This window comes from Homo sapiens, chromosome 12 (genome assembly GCF_000001405.40).
Source record: "Homo sapiens chromosome 12, GRCh38.p14 Primary Assembly".
NCBI classification, from domain to species: domain Eukaryota; kingdom Metazoa; phylum Chordata; class Mammalia; order Primates; family Hominidae; genus Homo; species Homo sapiens.
Genome location: NC_000012.12, coordinates 88,534,371 through 88,558,614, shown reverse-complemented (window position 1 = coordinate 88,558,614; position 24,244 = coordinate 88,534,371). Strand labels below are relative to the sequence as shown.

General features: G+C 37.6%; 1 protein-coding gene across 2 annotated transcripts in view; it reads left to right on the top strand.

Moving 5' to 3' along the window:
* KITLG (KIT ligand) overlaps window positions 1-24,244 on the top strand; it is an 87,679-nt gene that overhangs the window by 21,857 nt on the left and 41,578 nt on the right. For both annotated transcript variants that reach the window (NM_003994.6, NM_000899.5), the window contains exon 2: window positions 12,750-12,863. In NM_003994.6, the coding sequence (NP_003985.2) occupies window positions 12,750-12,863 (114 nt within the window). The remainder of the gene's footprint in view (window positions 1-12,749; window positions 12,864-24,244) is intronic.

The window sequence follows — 24,244 nt, the reverse complement described above, 5'->3', positions numbered from 1 at the left end:
TTGGAACACCTTCAGTGAAAGAAGGAACATTTTAACAGTTTATTCCATCCCACTAAAAAGGCAGTTGGTATGTCTCACACACATTGCATAATTCGCAAAGCCAGTTTGTGACCTTTGCCAATCAAGCTTGTCATCTGATGTGACAGAGAAAACGATCAAGATTGTGAACGTTCTTTGAGCTCATGTCTCTAGCTCCACTCATTTTGATGATATTTGGAAGCAGTTAAAGTAGAGTATAAAGATTTAGTTTATTCTCATGTAGTAAAAGATCCAGGTTGGTGGGTGGCGGGTCGTGAGGGGTGGGGGGAACTTTGTTGAAAATTTTCTGAGCTGCTTCCTCAGATTTTTATTTATTTATTTATTTATTTAAAAGGTCTTGTGAGACTAAACTTGTCAGATTTTCAGTAGCAGATGTGAAAATACATATGAGCACATTAATTACATCCATAGTGGGAAAAAAACACAAAAAGGTTCTAGGAAATTCAGGCATTCAGTCTCAGATTGGGCACTTGGGATCAGATGGCAACTGAAGCCTATGCTCATTTCACATCACCAAATGGTTTGGAGTTCAAAATATTTTAGAGATTTTAAATAATTACATAATTTTTGATTTACATGAGATCTCACTTTCAGAAGCAAGTCACGTATTTGAAAGAGTATAAATTATGATTTATGTTTCTGTAGCTGTTTTTAGAGAGCTACAGCCCTCAGATTCTTGTACATCAGGGTGATGTACAACCCTCAGATTCTTGTACATCAGGGTAGTTCAATTTTAAGAGCAGCTAGTTGGCATAAGAGTAAACGGTGCCCGTGTCCATGGAGTGCTGAAGATGCAGATTTCAGAACTTTCATGAATTTTTAAAATTATGTTTCCATACTTTGGCCGGTGTTGGGGGAGGTCTGCTCGTCTTATTTCTTTGAAAATACACACTTATTGCAGAGAGTTGGCGGTAGATATATAAACCTAGCTAACTTAAAGGGCATCTGAGAAATGGCGTTTTTAGTTTTCCAGACGTGATAGTTGAGAATTAAACTAGTACCCATCAGTTTTCTAGACTAGCTCAGTCTGTTACACATCATTATCCTCACAGAAATTAGAATTAGTCATTAGCTCGCATCTCCTTAAAATTAAGTGGATTATACTGTGTAGGGGATTTTTTTCCCCTCTGCTTTGTATAACTGCTAAAGAGCTTTATGAATAGCTAATGATCTACTTTTTAAACCATTGTTACTAATTAGATAGTCTATACTGCTGTCACAAATGCTTACTCTATTATGTACATCTTTATTAAAATTAGTAACAGTAAAAACCTGAACACTCAGGCCCTATATTCTTGCCTGAGGTACCAGTCTTTTATCAGGGATTTTTACACAGGGTCAAAACTTCTGAGCTCACCTGGCTCTGTTAACCCCAGGTGAGTTGTTCCCTATTCCTAGGCCATTTAAAAAAGAGAAATGCTGAGTTTATTATTTTAGTCCCACTCTTTCAGGGCTGTGTGTTCCCTTCTACCAAGACCGAAGTGAACTTTTCTAGCCCTTTCCATGATCACTCACTCTCTTCTTTCTTTTTTGGCAAACTGTAGTAATATACCCTTGAAATTCCCTCATACTCATTCACTCCTGTAGTCCATCCACTGTGATTGACTTTTAGTTCCATCAACTCAATGGCAACTGCCCTCATTAAGGTCAGCTCCATTAAGTACTCTTTAGTAAACATCATATTGACATCTTTTAGTGCTTGTTTTATTCATTGCCCTCTCCCTTTGGTATTTTTTTTCCATTGGCTGCTGTACCCCACAATCAACTGATTTCCCTCTCATGTATTTGGCTTCACATTCTCTCATCTCCTACACAGATAGTTCATGATAGAATGGTATCTATCTATGGTATGGTAGTATTCACTAAGGTTTTTGGTGATAAACTCCCAGACTCCTGCTGCCTCTTCTCTTCCTACATATCTGGATCAGCAGATAGCACCACTTTTTACACAGTCACCCAAACTGGAACCTGGAAGTCATTTGTGCCTCTTCCCCTTTTGACCCTACCCTCTTTTCATTAGTCACCAAGATCTTCCGTTCTACTTCCATATCCTGTTGAACGTGTTCATTTCTCTCCATTCTCACTGCCACTGCCCTAGTTAAGGCCCTTATCATCTCAGCTTTGGATTACTTCAGTGACCTCCTAATGGGCCTCATGCCCCCAGGTTTGTTGCCCTCTCTCCCCCAGTCCATCCTTCATTCTGATGCCTGATAAACCTTTTAACAATAAATCAGATCTTGACACTCCCTTGCTTAAAATCATTCCAGGTCTCCCCAGTGCTTTTAAAATGAAATCTAAATCAATTAGCAAGGAGGGCCTCTGCATATCTCTCTAGCCTTGCCTTTTTTTTTTTTTTTGCTTATTCTTTGAAACTTATTTTCCAATGGAGTAAAAAAATCACAGAATTCTAAGAACATGCCTTGTTTCCACACTTCTGTGGGCACCTGCTACTTCCTCTCTCAGGGGTCTTCTCCCTCACTAACTTTGAGTTGGCTGCCCCCGATCACCTTTGGAGAAGCTTCTCCCCCCAGAAACTATCAGCCCCTCCCTCAAATGCCCCTGTCCCCCAAATGCCCCCCTCCCCAAGTCAGGTTTAGCTGTACTTGGGGCAGGGGGCAGTTGAGGGAGGGGCTGGGCCTTTTCTCTCTGACTCCCACCACTGTGCTGTGTTCTCTAGTAGCTTGAGCTTCCTGAGGCCAGTGATCATAGTCTTTCTGTCTTTATCTTATGTATTTATTAGATACTCCATACATGTCTGTTAAATGAAGAAGTGGCCCCTGGGATAATGTTACTAGAAGTCTGAAAGCACCCAATTTTGTTTTTATAAGAAGAAACAACTTATCGCTTTATTTTTTGGGTTTCTCCCCTCCCTCTAGCTATGTAAATTTTTGTTTAAGCTATAGCTAAGTGTAACTTGATTTACCTGCTCGACTCATTTATTCAACCTGGTAATAACTTGACATGTAATTTCAATTTGAAACTGATTGAGTTAAAGAGACCTATATGCCTTCTGTAACATGACCCTTTAAAATAAAATTTAGTAGTTCATTAAATATAAATGAAGTCAGTTTTATTATCTAACTGGCCTAGTATTTTTCTTTCCAGCATAGATAGTGTAGGTTTTGGTTTATATCCAATCCAGCAATTTCCTAGCAAAGTGGCCATAAGGAAGTTACCTAATCTCTCCCGAATTGTGTTTTGCTCACCTGCAGAGTAGGGTAATAATATCTACCTGGTTGATGGGAGGATTACAGGAAATAATATCTGCAAACTGCTTGTCCTATGCACAGCCCCTTAGAAGTCAATATATTTTGAGTTATTTCCACTTTAAGTAGTATTTACATGTAGAACGAGGACTGATTATTAAAGGGTGAATTTCCCCAAATTTTTCTCATGCATTGAATACCTTGAAATCTTTAAATTCCCGTTACATTAAATTCCCTTATTATATTACATTGTCTGCCTTTTCATATTAAGCAACTTCTTTCTAGTTTTTTTTTGTTATAAGAGCATATTCATTACATATTTTAATGATCACCCATATTTTAAAACATTTTTAGCTTACTTCTTCACAAAAGGGAAGTTAGAAGAGTATCTTTACAAGATTTTGGCACCCACCAATTTGGACTCCAAGTTGGTCTGAGTTTCAATTAGTTACTCTGGTAACATCTGTTTTATTGATAGTAGTTAAGTTTCAAAAACTAACAAATCTACTAAATGTTTCAGTTGTCCCTTTAAGATTACTTAACAGTGCTTAGAGAAGAATTTTAGTCTGTGTAAGATGATTAGGTATTTTCCTTATAATGTTTAATGGTAAATTTTTAAGCAATTAAAAAGATCTGAAAAAAGAAGTCATATAGAACTGAATGGTTATTCACCAAATGAGGATCCTGTTGTTGGTTTACATAGATTATTTTTGGAAGATATGGTTCATATGAGTTAAGAAGACCTGAACTCAGGACCAATTACCATACCTGTATCTTGGTAACTTGCTTTCCTGTCTTTGGGTAGTTGAGCCAGTTGGCTCTCTTCCAAAATACATTTGGGCTACAAGGGAACTGCCTGCTTCAATAGCTGGTATGCAGGATTAAAGAGAAGATGAATGTTGTTTTTGGCAGCAGCTGCTGTTTTGTTCAGGGCAGCTCTAATACCATTTCGTAGGTCTGTGCATAAAGAAAATGAGCTACACAAACACTTAACTCTCTTTTTGACTTTGTGACGTCTGTAATATGGACCCTGACAATGCATATTTTAAAATCACTTCTCATATTCATAGAGAAAAAAAGGCTTTTTTTCTGTATTTTATTTTTTTGTTTTTCCAAGTTTAGAGGATTGGTATCTTCTGGTTTCTTGAACAGCATATGTCCCCCTGATATTCTTAGGCTGCATGCATTTTAATTTCTACTGAAGGAAAGGAATCTGCAGTGTGACTTATGTGTTGCAACACACGTTCAGATTAAGTCCATGGTTTGTTTTGGGTGTTTGTAGCTCCTTTTCCTGGCATGTGGCCTTTTACTGTAAGGAAAGCTCTGTGTTCAGGAGGGATTGGTTATTGAGTGAATAGTCCACTGGAGTCTGCTGATGTTTGTTCTCAACAAAAATGAAAATTAAGCAAGACCTTTGCCTTTGAGGTCTTCAACCTCATCTTCTTGTAAATCCCTCCCACCCCAGACTTCTTTAAAGTACTTTTCTAGTACTGTCTGCTACTGTCTGCTCCCAGAAAAGGACCAGCCACATCTGTCACTGATGTTAACATAAATTTTAGTCAGTATTACTTCCCTCTACCAGAACTGTTTCTACTGCATGCCTTGGTTGTAACAGTGCACACAGATTTCTCATTATTTTTTTTCCTAATCATGTAAATGATTTGAAGGCAACATTTAGCAATGAAAGGATTATTGGAATTTTGTGTGTTGTGGGGGAATAAACGGGGGACACTTTTGATGCATGTTTCTGAAAACAAAAATCGAGAACTACCCAGGACGATATGTGTCTATACAATGAAAGACTATCCAGAAATGAGGGGTTATCACACAATGAGCTTGACCTAGAGAGAAAAGTTGTACAATGATAAAACAAAGTAGCCAAAGAAAAATGTCATATACAGCTGCAGAGAATGTTAACAGAAAAAAAAAATAGATGATTACCCAAACTGAAAAGATACATTTTAGAGCAGAAGTCACAAACACAGGGACATTTTGCTTCAGTGTATCTCCATTAGGGTGTGTGTGAGCGTGTGTGCACACCCACATATTTAGGCACCCTATTCCCTCAGAGTTTCCAGAAATTGGAAGAAGAGGAAGAGAAAACAAAGATAAATATTTTGTTGATATATTGGAACATGTCATTTAATTGGAAGTCAGTTGTCTGTTAACTGAAGCTACTCTAAACACAGTTCAGAACTAAGAAATAAATGAAAAAGGTGTGTGAACTCAAAGTCAGTGTCAAAATATTCATGTGCTAAAGGTCATACTCTTTGTATATGGGAGATCTACTCTATAAAGTCTTTTCTCAGAAAGTTTTACTCAAACATTTTTGAAGTACTTGTCTTCTGGTTTCCTAGCCGATGCAAAGCCCATAAACCACACAACAAATAATTGCATAACACCCATAGTTTGAATAGTTTCTCATTTGATTCTTACTACTAGTTCATGAGATGGGTAAGGCAAAAATTATTTTTACTATCATTTTATAGGCTGATAAATGGATACTCAGGGAGATTAGCTGACTTGTTTGAAGTCACATGGGAAGGGACTGAGAGGTTTTCTGGATCCATGTTCTGCCCATGGTTTCCAAAAGCGTTTTTTTTTTTTAATTTCTTCTTGCCCTTGGAAACCTTTGTTTAAACAGAATCTTACTCAGAGGCATGAACAAATAAAACAACAAAAAAAGCTGAGCTGCTCTGCTTAAAATAAAGGGTGCGGGCCAATAATTCTGGCAGAGGCAATTCACTTTCCTCATTTGGAATAGCTTGACCATCACTACACTACACCTTTCATTCATTCATTCATTCCAAAAGTATTTCAATTGAGCTGTGTTTTATTTTTCTATTGCTGCTGTAATAAATTACCAAAAATTTAGTGACTGGCCGGGTGCAGTGGCTCATACCTGTAATCTCAGCATTTTGGGAGGCTGAAGTGGGTGGATTACCTGAGCTCAGGAGTTCAAGACCAGCCTGGCCAACATGGTGAAACTCTGTCTCTACCAAAAATACAAAAAAAAAAAGAAAAGAAAAAGGCCAGCCATGGTGGCAGGCACCTATAATCCCAGCTACTTGGGAGGCTGAGGCAGGAGAATCACTTGAATCTGGGAGGCGGAGGTTGCAGTGAGCCGAGATTGCACCACTGCATCCCAGCCTGAGCAACAGAGAGAGACTCTGTCAAAAAAAAAAAAAAAAAATTATCATAATTTTGAAGATCAAATGTTCAAAATAAGGCTCACTTACATCAAAGTATCAGTTGGACTATGTTGCTTTCCAAAGGCTCTAGGGGAGAATCTATTTCTTTCTCTTTTGCAGCTTCTAGAAGCTGCCTACATTTCTTGACTCTTGGTCCCTTCTCTCTATTTTCAATGCCAGCAAGGACATGTTGAGTCCTTTTCAGGTCACATTTCCCCGACCCTTCTTCCATCATCGCACCTCTCTCTGAACAGAGCTGGAAAATAGTCTCCATTTTTAAGGACCATGGGGATTAGATTGGACCCAGGGAATCTAGGATAGTCTCTTCATCTCTAGTTCTTAACGTAATCATGTCTGGAAAGTCCATTTTGCCATGTGTGGTGATGTATTCACAAGTTCCAAGAATTAGGACATGGACATCTTTGGGGCCATTATACTTCCTGCTGTAAGCTCCCATATGGGACACATGTTGTGTTCATCATCAAGAGTGCAGGAGACTAGAAATAGGCATGTTAGCAGTAACAATATGTTGCAAGTAATGACCTGACAATCTGGGGGAAACAGGAAAACTAAGGAACAAACAAATGAAACCTAAAATAAATTTTTAAAAGTTATACAAACAAGTACAGTAATTTGGAACCACTTGGAGAAGGGAAGCTACAACTACATAACTGAGATACTTTGAAAGTCTTCCTTTTATTTGATGAACCTGAACCGTCACAGAAAAGCAAAGTTTAATATTTCAATTCACTGTTTAAGAAATCAAAGTGTGTGTACAATATTAGAAAGACTTCTGTGTAGAAAAGTTAATACTGAAAAGTTTCTTTTTTATATAAAGAAGTAAGCTCTGCATTTCAGCTCTCTCCTGAGTATACTGATGAAGGAGGTGTCATTACTGCTTGGCAAAAATCTCAATATTTCTAACTTGATTATCTCCCTGTCCTAATGTTTAGCTATGCCAGAATGAATTCTTTAATTTTATGAAAGGTGGATATTTTTAATGGTAGCAAAGTATATGCAAAATTAAATTACAATATGAATTTATTTATAATGGCTTTAAAATAAAGGGCTTTAAGAAATATAGGTTTTTCAGAGATATTTGAATGTTCATAAGCTAACATAGATTTAATTTTAGCATTGACCCAGTGGATTTTTACAAAATGAACAAAACTGTGTCTTTGTAAGATATTTGAATTTAACTGATGCAAAAAAAATTTATGTTGCCCTGATCAAATCATTCTTCAATTATTATAGCAGTCTGTGTTGATATATTTTAAGGAACTATCAAAGGACATATATTAAAAATTATGATGACTTGAATAATATAGACTATTCAGCTGTGGCATGGAATATGGAACAGACTTGTCTCCATATGCTTGATATTTGCAAAAGTATTAAAGTTTTAGAGATCTGCTATCGCATCACAGTTCTCACAAACCATCTAACAGATTTGCAGGAGTTCTGGGACAGTGTAGAGGGGCTAAAAGGACAGGAGTTAGAATTGGACAGACCTGGGCTTACTGATTTCACCACTCAGAAGTCACCAAACCTCCCTGTACCTCAACTCCTTCATCTTTAAAATTAGGATATATGAAAGTTATTTTTTTCCTTATTAGATATCCAAGATGCTTGGTGTATAGTAAATGTTCAGTAACTTTTAGCTCTATTCATGGAATTGTTCCCAAAACACAACCAGCATCTGCATTCACATTCCAGCGCTCTGCCTGATAGCATTGAACTACCTATACTCCTATTTAAAGCCACACTTCCTACTTGAGAACTGAATCTCACCCCTTCTTTCCTGCTCAAGGCTGTTGCCCAAGCAGTCCCCTCTCTTCTGACCTATATTGCCAATTGCTTCCTCCTACTGGATCATTCCCATAGGCATACACTCATTCTGGTATTTCAACCTTCTTACAAATAAAACTCTCTTCACCCCCAATTTCTTGCCAGCTACTTCCCCATCTTGGTTTTATTTATTTATGTGTTTGTTTATCCAGTTGCTCTCCTTTGAAGGAAAACTCTTCAAAACAGCTGTTCATACTCACTGTTTCTGGTTAATCTCATCTCCTGCTTTCTAAAACCCACTGTAGACTGGCTTTTTCCCATACCACTTCAATAAAACTGCTCTTGTTAATATTACCAGTGACCTTAATGTTGCCAAACCAGTGGTCAGTTATCAGTCCTTATCTTACTCGGCCTATAACTGGCATTTGACATAGTTTGACCCTATTTTCCTTAAAGTACTTTTTTAAAGTCTTGGCTTCCTTCCATGATCTTTTTGCTTTGCTCTCTTGGACTCTTTTGTGGGTTCTCACTCTTCTGTCAGATCCCTTAAGGTTAGAACACCATAGCATGCGCAGTTCTTTGTTCTTTTTTATACTTTTACTCACTCCCTTGGTGATCTCATCCACTCATTTGCTTATATATGGAAGGTTATCATATTTATATCTGCACCCCAAGTTTCCCTCCTAAGTCCAGATTTAAATATCTTGACCTGGCATTATCACTAGAATATCTCAAAGACATCTTAAACTTAACATACTCAAAATTTAACTCCTGATCTGCCTCCCAAACCTTCTCTACCCCCAGTCTTCCCCATATCAGTTGATGGCAACACCATCTTTCCATACCAAAGTTCTTATAGTCATCTTTGACTCTTTCTCTCAAATCGTACTCTGTCAGGAAATTCTCATGGTTCAGCCTTCAGAAGATGTCCAGAATCTAACCACTTTCAGTCAATGTATTACTATAACCCTTTCTTGATTGGATTACAGCAGCAACCTCCCAACTTGTCGGTTTCATTTTCTACCTGTTGTCACCCTAAAGTCTATTTTTATTATAGCAATCAGACTGATCTTATTTAATTAATTTATTTTTATTCTGAAGTATATATCCCTCCTCTGCTCAAAATCTTGCAATGAATCCTATTTTATTCAAGTAAGAGTCAATGTCTGGGCAATAGGCTTCAACGCCCTACATGAGCTGTCCTCTCCATTGTCTCTCTGACATCATCATCTTCTACTGCTCCCTAATTTACTCTTGCTATGTCTTAAATAACAGATGCCTTAAATAGACCTTAGGACCTTGGCACCAGCTTTTCTCTCTGTATGCAGTACTCTTCCCACAGATGTCTGCGTGGATCACTGCCTTAGCTTTGTCCAATCTTTGGTGAAATTTTGTCTTCTTAATGAGACACTTATCAATATTACCCTGTTAAAAATTTCAAGCTGTTTCCACCCATACTGCAATCTCTGGAAAGAAAAGAGTACAGTTAGTTCTATGGCTCTTCTCGAGACTCAGAGATGCCTGGTGATTTGACCCTCCCTATAAGTCTTCTTTCAACAAGGACTCAAGAAACTTTTAGGTGTACATCTATACTTCCTCCAAGGGAATTCAGCTGAAGTTACTAGGTAGCAGGCACTGATGTGTGCTTTATTACAAGCATATGTCATGCACTGATATGTATTAATATTTTATTGTTGAGACTGGTACTGGTGGGGGTAGCTGCTCTAGAAAATGAATAGAAGTTCATGCCATATCCCTAAAAAGCTGCTCAGCTAGCAAGGTATAAGCAGAAGGAATGATTCTACCTACCCAACATCACCTATCATTGCCACACGTATCTTGAGTGTTCAGTGACTTTCTGATATTAGAGATGGCCTGGGAGTCTGCTCTGCTTGTGCTGTATGTACTCTTTTGTTATCTAACTTTTTTTTTTTTTGGTGATGTAGTCTAGCTTTTGTCGCCAGGCTAGAGTGCAGTGGCGCAATCTTGGCTCACTGCAACCTCCGCCTCACGGGTTCAAACGATTCTCCTGCCTCAGCCTCCCGAGTACCTGGGATTACAGGCATGCACTGCCACACCCAGCTAATTTTTGTATTTTTAGTAGAGATGGGGATTCACCATGTTGGCCAGGCTGGTCTCGATCTCCTGACCTCGTGATCCGCCCACCTCGGCCTCCTAAAGTGCTGGGATTACAGGCATGAGCCACCACGCCCGGCCAACCTAACCTTTCTTAAAACTCAGCAGTACACTTGGTGCTGGGCAAAGCCTTGGTGCTGGGCAAAGCAGTACACATGGTGACTCATGACTGTGATTGTCACTCTGAACCCAAGATCACCAGTAAGGCAGAGTAGACATTATGATCCCAATCCCCTTTACCTTGCTCTAATCTTATTTTTCCCATAGCTTTTGACACCTTTTGACATACTGTATAACCTAGTTACTTATGTTTGTTGATTAAGCCTTATGAGGGCAGGAATTTTGTTCATTATATAGGCCTAGCACCTAGGACAATGCCTGGTATACACCAGATACTCAATAAATACTTGTTAGATGAATGAGAAAACAAACGTTTCTTTAGTATTTATTCAATGCCAGGCGTAAAGGATTGCGAAGACCAGTAACAGAATTTCTGCCATTACATTTCTTTGAGCAAAGGATATGATTATGGTCATTTCTGAGATTGGTCCATTACAGAGATCCTTAGAGAAAGTTCCCAAATCACATCAGAAAGAGGGGTTTAGAGAAATATATTTCCAGGGAGGTTACGTCTTAGCAATGACAATATAAAAGAAAGCTGACTTTAATAAATTATATTTACACATGTGAAGGAAGACTGTTATTAAGGGACAGTTTGTATGTAGGGGTTGTCTGTCCAAAAAGAAGAATCCTCAAACAGAAATAATTTATACAACTTAGTCTTCACTGTGGTCCAAGAAAGATGATACTATGAAGAGTGTGACCCCACAATGCTAGAAGTAGCCTTAAATAAAATTATGCAGGATTACTGCTAAAATAGACCATGGTGGTAAGGGAATAAAAGGATTTCAATCTTGAATACAAACCACTATATCCATGTAATTAGCATTGTAGTTTTAGAAATTTTAGCAAATAATAATCATTATTTGTTCTAGTATAATATCTAGTTAGCATGCAGATATTAATTGAAAATAATAATCCAGTTCCTTTTTAATATGGCTAGCTATGTAAATAGAGAAGATTTCTAGCCATGTGCATCTGGACTCTTGTGTAATTTTAAGATTTTACAGAAGAATGGTATCTCATAAAAGAATGTGCACATATTTTAAGATGTCTTCACATCTGCATGGTTTTGTCATGCTGTTTATTTTTCCTGGAACGTTCATCTTTTCTTTGTCAGCCCTTGCAAGTCCTCCTTGTCCTCCTAAATCCAGCCACAGTCACATTTTCTTTCTGGCTTTTCTTGGCACTGTCTTCCTGCAACTGGTTCTCCCCCTTAAGGTTAATTGATTAATTGCTTCCTCTTCTGTGTTCCGAAAGTGTTTATCACAAGATGTGAGTGTTATTTATTTACCTGCCTCTGAGTTTCAAGGGCATCTTCAACATCTTTGTTACCCTAGTGACTGGCGTTGTTCCTGTTGCATAATATATATTCAATAAATGGTTATTGAATTTGAGCATCAGGATATATTTTTACCTTGACCACTGATTGACCCAGCAAATATTTATTCAGGACTTTTTATATGCAAGACACTGTGTTATGTGTTGTGAAGATACTACAAAGATAAATCAGTTGCACAAGTTCTTGAAACTCTACAGTGTAATAAGGAAAAATAAGTCATGCATAAAAGCAACTATAATACATAATAGAAAATGTTATTTTCAAGCCGATGTGTAGGTTATGTGTGTTCGAGAGAGAGAGAGAGAAGACAGATTACTTTCTGCTAGGGTTCAAGAATGCCTTCCTGTTGGCTAAGGAAATATTTTCCTTAAGTGGCTAAAAAGCTGTGTTTCAAAATATTCTTTTGATGTCTCACAAATTCAGTGGAATTCTCTTAGGTCTAAAAATATACATCTCTCTCACTTTAACTTGGTGTGCTATTGTAGATTATTGGATTAAAGCACTGCTCAGGGATTATGCTGCTTCTTGCCAAGCAGTCTACATTTAAAGTAGAAATAAGATGTTTCTTTTGGTGCCATAAGGTATACATTTTATGCATTCTCTAGTTTTTAGAAGATACCCTAAGGGCTAAGTCTTTAACATGCTGCTACAAGTTTATTCCTAATTGCCATTGGGAAATTGGCTGAAGAAAGTTTTTAACAAAAGTTAACAATATTGTCATTGAGAGAATAATTCAAAATGGATTTTAACTAAAAGCTTTTAAAAACTTTGGTGAGCATAGCTTGAATGCGTAATATTTAATTGCATTTAAGCCAATAACATATATTAGACTGGTCTTTTTGTGCATCAAGGCATTAGATGTTAAAAGTTTGAATGATTACAGATCTTAACTGATGATCACCAAGCAATTTTTCTGTTTTCATTTAGACTTGGATTCTCACTTGCATTTATCTTCAGCTGCTCCTATTTAATCCTCTCGTCAAAACTGAAGGGATCTGCAGGAATCGTGTGACTAATAATGTAAAAGACGTCACTAAATTGGTAAGTAAGGAATGCTTTACCGTGCTGTGTAAAAAAGAGCTGTGGCTCTTTTTCCTGTGCTTGTTGATAAAAGATTTAGATTTTTCTTGCCCCAAAGTAATGTTTTCCTAAAGTGGGGAAAGTAATCACTGGGTTACAATAAAGGGTTTATAGAAAGCAGGTAGTGAGATATTTAGGGTCATGGATAATTTGTTGGTAAAACTGGCTAGTTGCACACCACTGCTGTGACTGCTTCTTTGCTGGTCTTCTCCCCATCCTTCATAGGCAGTGAAGGACCTTGGAGAGTTCGCTGTGTGCTGATGGGCTTGCCCCAGCTTGTTCCCCATAATCTCTCCAGTGGGTTTCCCAGCATGTTCTATTCCCCTTCACATGTCTTCCTACTCTTCTTTAAAAAGTCTAACGAAAGGAAATCTGAAATGGCTATTCTCCCAATTCAATCAGCAGGAAGACCCTGTCACATGTCAGTGGGTGTTTGCTCCTTCAGGGAACATAGAGAGGTGATTCATTGCCCACATGTTGAAGGGACTCATCTCCCTGGTTTGTCACATTGAACTCTTCCCTCAGCGAAAGCATTTGCATTGCTTCCCCAAGTCACTGCCAGCTCCATGCTATGCTTCTCCAGATGCTTTCTCTCAAGATCAAGCCACAGAGTGGGCATAACACATCTGGAATGCATCCTTCCCAACCGTCACGATCTAGGGGAGATCTTACATGCTTTTTTGAACCATGTATGATTTCGGGATGAACAAAGCTTGAGAAGCAATTTTTAAATTCCTAGTTATTTAAATACTGACTAGAGAACGGAGGTGATGCGAGAATAGGTAAGAAATGAGGGTTGTGATATGGAGAAAAGGATGAAAAGTTTATTTTTTGAGGTACTGGGATAAGGAGTAGAAGGGGCTCTATTTATCTTCCCTCCTCTTGATATATATTTTCTGGTGTATATGTCTTATTTTGGGTTTATAATAGAACTTCAAAACAGAAGTTTAAGGCCACTGTTGAAGTCTTGCTAGCTTAGCCTCAATATAGAATTAGAAACACACAGACACAATTTATACAAATTCCTTAGGACCCAGAGAGTTCAGGTTTAAAAGCATTCTTCCATGCAGCAGCAGCAGATGTATCAGTATGTCTTACTTGAGGGAACTGTGAGCAAAGCCATGCAAGAGTTGTCTGCTATATACCCAGTTAGCTATTGTGTATAGGGATGGGGGTGAGGGGGGAGTACTTTTTTTTTTTTAAAAACATACTGTTTAAAAATAGATCATGTTTTTTTTCCTTGAGTTGCTTGTTAGTTTGTGACCCAAGAAACAATACTAAAAGGACAGTATGTGTTTAAAATCTAACTTTTGTGAATGACCTGGATTCTAGTCTAGACTTAACATGTGATGGCTGTGTGACCTTAGTCAAGGCACTTGACCCCTTCTAGCCTCAGTTTCTTCATCTGTTAAATAGAGATAATATGTCAGCGGGATCTGAGGATAAATTGTAATAATGCAGCCTAAGCCCATAGTGAGCACAGTGCCTAGCACATAGTAAATATTTGACACACAGCACATAGTAAACAGTGTTAGACACTGTTACTATTTTATGATTATGTGAACTTAGGGAAGAGGAACCATACTAAGTGCCTCAGTTCAGAGCTGAAATGAGTGTCAGGTGGCATTACTGGAAGTAGGATGGTAGTAAGCACCATGAGATCAGTCACTATCTTAGCTCCCATCTGACTACTTACGCCCATGCCTAAATTCATTTATCAATAAATTGTTCTCAGATTCTAGAAGCTATTGACAAGACCAAGCAGGATCATACAGAAAATGTTATAGTAAACTTGTGCGAGATGACCTAGTCTAGCAAACATGCACATGATCTTAGCTTTCTATAAGGAAGATAAAGTTTTTAGAGACAAGATGAAGGAAAAAAATAAGTCTACAAAGCAAGATAGACCCTTGAAGATGTAATGGTGCAAAACTACTTTTTAATGTATGTTATCTTAATACCCAATGGTCTAAGTCAGTTGTTGGCTAAATTTTTCATCTGGGAATTTTAATGGTGATATGAGAAGGGCGGGGAAAGCAAAGTAGATGATGTTCATTAAATGTTTGCTGGGTGAGTGAAGAAGAGGAAATGATGTGCTTTACTTTAGTGAGCATCACAATCACCTGTCATGCTGATGAAAATTATGGGTACCTCTATTCACAATAGCAAAGACTTGGAACCAACCCAAATGTCCATCAATAATAGAAGACTGGATAAAGAAAATTTCACAAATATACACCATGGAATACTATGCAGCCATAAAAAAAGATGAGTTCATGTCCTTTGAAGGGACATGGATGAAGCTGGAAACAATTATTCTCAGCAAAATATCACAAGAACAGAAAACCAAACACCGCATGTTCTCACTCATAAGTGGGAGTTGAACAATGAGAACACAAGGACACAGGGAGGGGAACATTACACACTGGGGCCTGTTGGGGGGTGGGGGCCTGGAAGAGGGATAGCGTTTGGAGAAATACCTAATGTAAATGACGAGCTGATGGGTGCAGCAAAGCAACATGATACATGTATACCTATGTAACAAACCTGCACGTTGTGCACATGTACCCTAGAACTTAAAGTATAATAATAATAATAAAAATTACAGGTGCCTGGGACTACACCAAGAAACTACTTTGGTAAGTCTGAAAAAGGGATCCAAACATCTATATTTTTAACAAAATTCTGAAAGGAGGCTTAAGAGCAATTGCTCTAGATGGTCTCTTCTGTCATTGTTTAGAAACCAAAATGTCTTGACTCTTATTTAATCTCAATTCCTATTATGACTAGTTATCATCTGTGTTGTATAGACTTATAAGGATGCCAGATTAATACAAATCTCCAAAATATGTTTAAAGTAGGTCACTACTTTAGAACCAGCAGATCACAGTCTCTCAGGGACTTATTTAAGGTACAGCTCTAAGGGCATCACTATACCGAATCTCAACTTGTGGAGATGGGGTGTGAGAACCCTAATGTTTCCAACTAGCATCTACATAAAAGTTATTTATGTAGAAGTATCAGGACTGCTTAGGCCATAATGTTTATAGAGTGTGTGTGTGTGTGTGCATGTGTGTGTGTGTATTTTAATGTTTGAAAAGAAGTGGAGTGTTCCTATCCTAACTTACTAATTTCATTTATTCAAACAGCAACATGAGTGACTGTTGAGATTTATGGATGTAGATAATCACAGCCTTTCTCTATACATGGTGGGGCAGAGCATCTTGAAGGAAGTCGGGAATACTAGGTTTTTTTAATACCAGCTCCACTATTACCTGGCTGTGTGGCCTTGGACAAATCACTGAATCTTTCTGGCATTCAATTTCCTAATTTTTCAAATGAGGAACATGGACATGATCAATAGTTATTAATCTAGGGCTGACAAACTTCAAATGCTTACACATGAAGCTCAGAATTGTGCTGCCTTCATATGCCTTATGTTCATTTCTGAGGAGAGTGTGTAGCTTTTATCATTTCTCAGAGAAATCTAAGACCCCAAAGAAGATAAGAACTACTAAATTAGAGAAACTTGGAGGCCTTTTTCAGCTTTGAAATTATTTTATTCCATAATGATGTTTTTTTCAGGTTGCACCTCTTGGAATAATTCAATAATAACTCGACTGAAGGAGGTTATATAGGATGAGAGGAATTTGCTTTGCAGACATAACCTTGCTACATTTTATGTGAGGGAAAGAAAGTGGCCTGACAGTCCATTTTTGCCTGTGCTCACAGTTATTCCTTCAATGGAAATCATTCCTTTGCAGCCCCTACCAGTTTCATCTTTGCATTAGGTGGCAACCTGCACTGTGCCCACACACTTGAAGTTTTTTTGCTTGAAGTGATTCTCATGTCACAGAAGCCCATGATTTATGACTTTAATGTCAAATTTTTTTTTTAATTTCTTCTTGAACACTTTGTACTGCCCCCACGGTCCCCGTGGTTTTTATTCGAAATGCTTCTGGCCTGTTTACTAAGCATAATAGTTCATCTATTTACAGAACATTTTGCTTTGTTTCTAAAAAAATGTTGCAACATTTGTTTTAAATGGCAAACTCAGACTTACCTAAAGAAAGGGTCAAGTATCTGGGAAGAGGATGAATCAAGCTTTTATAACTTGTATCTATGGGATAGTTAGGTTGCAGATTTTAGTAGTTGTAATTGTTCATATAGGAAGGAAATCCAGATATTGAAAAAGTTCAAACTAGTTTTCTCTGTGTATTCTCCCTACTCTTCTCTTTGTTTGTGACGACTTTGTTTCTTCATTTGAGGCAATTTAACTCAATATGATTTTGTTGCTAAAAAGAAAAAATGTTTTGTCTTTAACTTTCTATTGGGTAATGACTTGTCTTCCTCAAAATGTTTCTTAAGGTCCCATCTCCATCTCGTAAAGGTGAAATTACTCTGTCTTTTCAAGGTCAGTCTACAAATTAGTAAGATAGCATTAGAACAAAGGAATCTATTGTCTTCCTGGTCTTGTGATAGGCACTTATTTCAAGTTGGCTATATTTATACATGATTCATGGAGATTATCGTAATGAGAGATTATAAAAATATCCTCAGATAACACATTTTCACACTTTGAATAGACAGTTTTGATTAATTCTGATTATTTTTCTTCTTCAAATATTATTGTTCTCAAGTAGAATTACCACTGCATTAAAGTGAAGAATTGGAGTCTCTGAATGTCCCCATTTCTGGATGAATTCTAAGCTTTTCTTCAGATGACCTAGGTATATCATTAATAGTGAAGATTTCACATAATTTTGTTTGACCTTCGAAAAATAATAGTTTGAAAGATAGTTTTCAAATTTTATTTTATTAGGTTGCAATATTTAGCATTTTAATTTCTGCTCCTGTGGTCAGCAGAAAATTCTTTCTCTATTTAAAGCTAAATTTAGGACATTTTGTATTTTAAAAAAAGGACTATTAGAAATAATATTTATTAAAACTCTAGATAGATTGCTATATTATCAAGCATATGAGTCTTATTGTTAGGAAAACATTGTTCTTCCTTTATAGAATAAACTACTTGGATAATATGTCTTCTGCTCATTGAATTTTTATTTTTATCTTTTGTAGAGATGTGGGTCCCATTATGTTGCCCAGGCTGGTCTCAAACTCCTGGCCCCAAGAGATCCTCCCACCTCTGCCTCTCAAAATTCTGGGATTACAGGTGTAAGCCACCATGTGCAGCCTGCTCCTTGGTTTTTTAGAACAATAGTTATGAGTACACAGACACCATGCAGAAACACTTTGCATGGATTGTCTCCTTTACTTTTCATAACCTTACAAGATAACTATTTTTAGCCCAGTATATTGGTTAGAAAGCTGAGATCTAGTGGTATTTAGTAATCTGATTATCATCACTTGGGAAATAGTTGAGTAGAGGTTTGACCCCTTAACTACCTATCATTGAGGCACAGTAATGCAGTTCATAATTTATAATGCCTTCCCAGTAGTTTAAGATGTAAGTTTCAACTACAATTAATGAATTATCATTGTAACCTACTGAATTTTATTTCCTGAATAGTAGTCACCTTATCTTACTGTGATTAGGAAGCTATCATATTGTAGAAGCTCAGTTAGTTACTTAATTGGAATCATCATCATAAGGTGTGTCATCATCATAAGGTATGTCATCATCATGAGGTATTATACACTCCCTAAATATTGTAGTTTATAATCTCTTCTATTTGAAAGAAAAAATTGTTATCTATCTTTATTTAGATATTCTTTACTGAGGAACGATGACCTTGAAAAGCCTCCTGAAGTTGTCATCTTAATTTTTTTTTGAGACAGGGTGTCTATCACCCAGTCTGGGGTACAGTGGTGCAATCATGGCTCACTGGAGCCTCAAACTCCTGGGCTCAAGTGATCCTCCTGCCTCAGCCTCTCTAGTAGCTGGGACTCCAGAGTAGTTGCCACCATACCTGACTAATTTTTTAAATTTTTTTCTTGAGATGGACTCTCACTTTGTTGCCAAGTCTGGTCTCAAACTCCTGGCTTTAAGCAATCCTCTCACCTTGGCTTCTTAAAGCAGTAGGATTACAGGTATGAACCACTGTGCCCTGCCAATTTATTTTTAATCACTAATTGAGTTACCATTTTAAAAAAGTCCAGTTACATTTGAAAACTATAGGTAATACACCTGGTTGGTTAGATTTTTAGTCAATATTAGTGGTAGATAATTTTTTAGGAGAAACAAAGAAGCAAAAAGCTTTTTTGGGGGGTGTTATTTCTGAAGGTTGAACAACTAACATAGTAAGCTACTGTACCTGAGTGAACGATGATAGAAGTGTAGAGCTTTTTTCCTCTACAGCCATGATTATTAAACTTTGCTAGGTCTGAAAATCATAGACTCTTTCCCCAGAAAAGTTGACATAGGCACAGCATTTTGTAAAAGTGTCAAGGGAGTCATAGATAACTAATGAATTTTGATTCCTGCCTTGGACTTGGGAGAGACAGCATAACAAGTAAGGGTCTTGCAAAGATGTCCAAGGTGGCCACTGATCTCATGAGATTTAGGGACCTCAGTGACCCTTGAACCATGAGATCCAAAGGTTTTTAGATCAGTGATCTAGAGAGGAAGTTAAGTGTTCTGACTTTGAGTTATTTTTCTTCTGAGTCCAAATACCTGCAGGGTGTGGTATGCAGCCAGTGCCAGTTTGGCTTGCAAAGACTTCTTGTTGGCCAAGTCTCCAGCATTTCCAAATGCTGTTCTCCCATGGATGTTTTTCCAGTGTCACTGGACATGGTCAATCATTAAGACATCCAAAGAAGACAGTAAATGGTTCCCACCTAGCACAGTTAGCTCATCATCCAGTAACTTGTTTTTGCAGTTTTTTATTTTACAATCTGGCATAGTATTGACATCCTTGCACTCCAAACCAGAGCTCATTAGAATGAGTTGGCCTTTGGTAAAATTTTCCGTCAATTAATTTTTTTTTGCCATGAATTTCTTTAGTAGAACAGATTTGTTTTTTAAAATACGTAGCCTTGGTTACTTATCCACTTAACCCTACCAATAGGGAATACTCCCTGGACTCTAGACCTGGTTCCTGCTTTTCTAGTTTCCAGTTTGCATGTAAACATTTAATGTATATTCAAATTCCTAGTGGTCTTCTAATCTTTTGTCTGTCTCTGTTTTCTCTTTGCTCCAAACTGTCTTCCCATACTAATCTTGGTATTTTACTACCAGGTTCCTTCTCTGCTGAAACACATTCAGTGTTGCATCACCACTTACGTAAGTAAGTCAAACCAGACTGAATTTATAGAAATTATCTAGTTTGCCCTCTTTATCTTACAGACAAGGAGTAGAACTTCCACAGAGATGATGCTATGTGTCTAAGCAGAAGCAACTTGCTGTGGAGTTCTGATGGTAGAACTGTTCCTACTGTACCTTACTACCTACCATTTGACCTCCCTAGCTCAACATTTGGAGGGTCTCTCTCAAAGGCAGTTTTCCTGGAATATTTCTTATCTCTTAACTGGTCTCCCTAACACATTATGAGCTTTCCCATTTCTTTGCCTTTGCATAAGACCCTTCCTCTATCTAGACTGTCCCACTCCCTCGCATTTAGTATTAATAGAAATTCATACTCATTCACATACCATGCCTAACTAAGCACTTAGTATTTTATATGAGTTATTTTATCCTTATAAATCCATCAGCTAGATTCTATATGATTCCCATGTGACACATGTAAAAATTTAGGCTGAAGTAGATGAAGTGACTTGCCCAAGACTTCTGAGTTAGTAGGTTTCAGGGCCAGGATCCAACCTGAGTGGTCTGTCTCCAGAACCTGTGCTATTAATCCATACATTAAATTCACTGCCTCTAAGGAGTATTTTCCAAGTTGCAGGCCATAGGCTCCCTCTACTCTGTGAAACTTTCCACAGTGATATATATCAGAGAAGCAGAATTTATTTCATGGTTATCTGTGCTTTCTGGAAGGTGAGTCAATATACTACGGGGTTGAATATTTCCTACCCAAAATGCTTGGGACCAAAAGTGTTTCAGATTTCATTTTTTTTTTTCAGATTTTAGAATATTTGTGGTTTTTTCTTTTTAATATACTTTCAACTATTATTTTTGATTCAGCAGCTACATTTGAAGGTTTATTACTTGGGTATATTGTATGATGCTGAGGTTTGGGGTATGATTGATCCCATCACCCAGGTAGTGAACATGGTACCCAATAGGTAGTTTTTTTAACCCTGTCTTCCTGCTTCCTATCTAGTTGTCCCTGGTATCTATTGTTGCCATCTTTATTTCCATGAGTATGCAGTGTTTAGTCCCCACTTGTAAGTGAGAACATGCAATATTTGGTTTTCTGTTCCTGTGTTAATTCACTGACAATGATGGCCTCCAGCTGCATCCATATTCCTGCGAAAGACATGATTTTATTGTTTTTTTTTGTGGCTGCATAGTATTCCATGGTGTATATGTATCACATTGTCTTTATTCAGTCCATTGTTGATAGGCACATAGGTCGATTCCATGTCTTTCTATTGCGAATAGTACTGTGATGAACGTACAAATGCATGGGTTTATTTGGTAGAAGGACTTATTTTGGATATACACCCAGCAATGGGATTGCTGGGTTGAATGGTAGTTCTGAATTCTTTGAGAAATCCCCAAATTTCTTTCCACAGTGGCTGAACAGTGTATATGCATTCCCTTTTCTCTGCAGCCACACCAGCATCTGTTGTTTTTTGACATTTTTTTAAATTATACTTTAAGTTCTGGGGTACAAGTGCAGAACGTGCAGTTTGTTACATAGGTATACACGTGCCATGGTGGTTTGCTGCAGCCATCAACCCCTCACCTACATTAGGTATTTCTCCTAGTGCTATCCTTCGCCTAGCCCCCCAATACCCAACAGGCCCTGGTGTGTGATGTTTCCCTCCCTGTGTCCATGTGTTCTCATTGTTCAACTCCCACTTATGAGTGAGAACATGTGGTGTTTGGTTTTCTGTTGTTGTGTTAGTTTACTGAGAATGATTGTTTCCAGCTTCATCCATGTCTCTGCAAAGGACATGAACTCATCCTTTTTATGGCTGCATATTATTCCATGCTGTATATGTGCCACATTTTCTTTATCCAGTCTATCACTGATGGACATTTGGGTTGGTTCCAAGTCTTTGCTATTGTGAATAGTGCCGCAATAAACATACGTGTGAATGTGTCTTTATAGTAGAATGATTTATAATCCTTTGTGTATATACCCAGTAATGGGATCGCTGGGTCAAATGGTATTTCTGGTTCTAGATCCTTGAGGAATCGCTACACTATCTTCCACAATGGTTGAACTAATTTACACTCCCACCAACATGACAGCCATTCTAACCCCTATGAGATGGTGTCTTATTGTGGTTTTGATTTGCATTTCTCTGTTGATTAGTGAGGTTAAGCAATTTTTCATATGTTTCTTGGCCCCTTGCATATCTTCTTTTGAGAAATGTCTGTGTCTTTTGCTTACTTGTTGTTTATGGGGTTATTTTTTGCTTGTTGAATTGTTTAAGTTCCTTATAGATTCTGGATATTAGATCTTTGTTGGATGCATAGTTTACAAATATTTTCCCCCATTCTGTAGGTTGTCTATTTACTCTGTTAGTAGTTTCTTTTGCTGTGTAGTAGCTCTTTAGTTTAATTAGCTCCCAATTGTCATTTTTTGTTTCTGTTGGAATTGCTTTTGAGGACTTAGTCATAAATTATTCCCCAAGGCCAATGTCCAGAATGGTGTTTACTAAGTTTTCTTCCAGCATTTTTACAGTGTGGGGCCTTACATTTTAATCTTTAATTCCTTTTGAGTTAATTTTTGTATGTGTTGAATAGTAGGGGTCTAGTTCCATTCTTCTGCATATAGCTAGCCAGTTATCCCAGCACCATTTATTGAATAGGGAGTCCTTTCCCTATTGTGTATGTTTGTTGACTCTGTCAAAGATGACATGGCTTGTATGCATGTAGCTTTATTTTAGATTTCAGATTAGAGATGTTCAATCTGTATAAATGCTTAGAAAGTAATATTAACACAATAATTTATTAAGCGACCACAAATATCTACAACTTGACTTTCTAAGTTCTCTTCCAAATGTAATTAGAAGGAAACCAATGAAAACCAAGGACGTAATAATGGGATACTGCGCTATAGGTAGATGTGCTGAGCCCCAGCACACAAAGCCAGGGTTTGCATCCTACCTGCACCAGTTACTCCTAATGCGTGTACCTTGGGGATACCGGTTAACCTCTCTGAGTTTCCATGACCTCATTTGTAAAATAAGCTTAATATAATCTCTCATGGGGTTGTGGTAGAGACTGTATATGAAAACTTGTTTTAAATTATAAAGCACGTTTCAAAAACAGTATTATTTTTCAGTCTCACCAGAAATTGAATATCAGTAAATCAGCTTAACGAATAAATTACTTTATTATTATACACTGCCCTACCACCAGTGGTAGAATGTAGATTTCAGTGTTTTTATCAGGGAACTTCCTATAAGCCTTCTTTGAACCAATATTTGTATATAAATTATTCATGAAATGGAATTGGTCACCATACTCTTTACATTTTCTTTGCTTTTTAGACATATACTCAGATCCCACACTTTCTAAATACTAATCTAGTTGATTGTATTTTTGTATTTTTAAAATAATATAAATTATGCTTAAGAAAGGGCTGGATTGTTAAGCAGCTTGTGTTCAGAATACCTGCCACTTCTTGCTGCGTTTTTCTATCTGGAATGCCTTTAATTTACCTGGTTTATTCAAAATGAGATAGAATATTGCTGCTTACTTATCGCTTTCACATCTGCAACAGGTCTGCTCTGTCTTTGTCACTAGGGTTTACATAAAATGACTAGACGCTTTTTCCTTTCAAAGATGAGGATGAAGATTAAGAAGAGAAAAGAAATTATGGAAGCTTGGTGGAAAGTTTGAGAGGAAGAAAGTTAAGTGTAAAGAATAAGGGAGTTAACGCCAAAAATAAATGAACAAAAATGCCGTCATGTCTGGCAGCTCAGGTGTGTTTTCAATAAGCAGCAATGGAATGGACACGGTGGCTCATGACTGTAATCCCAGCATTTTGGGAGGCCAAGGCAGGCAGATCACTTGAGGCCAGGAGTTTGAGACCAGACTGGCCAACATAGCAAAACCCCGTCTCTGCTAAAAATACAAAAATTAGCCAGGTGTAGTGGTGCGTGCCTGTAATCCCAGAGGCTGACACATGCGAGGATTCCTTAAGCCCAGGAGGTGGAGGTTGGAGTGAGCCAGGATTGTGCTACTGCACTCCAGCCTGGGTGACAGAGTGAGACTCTGTACCAAAAAAAGAAAAAAAAAGCAG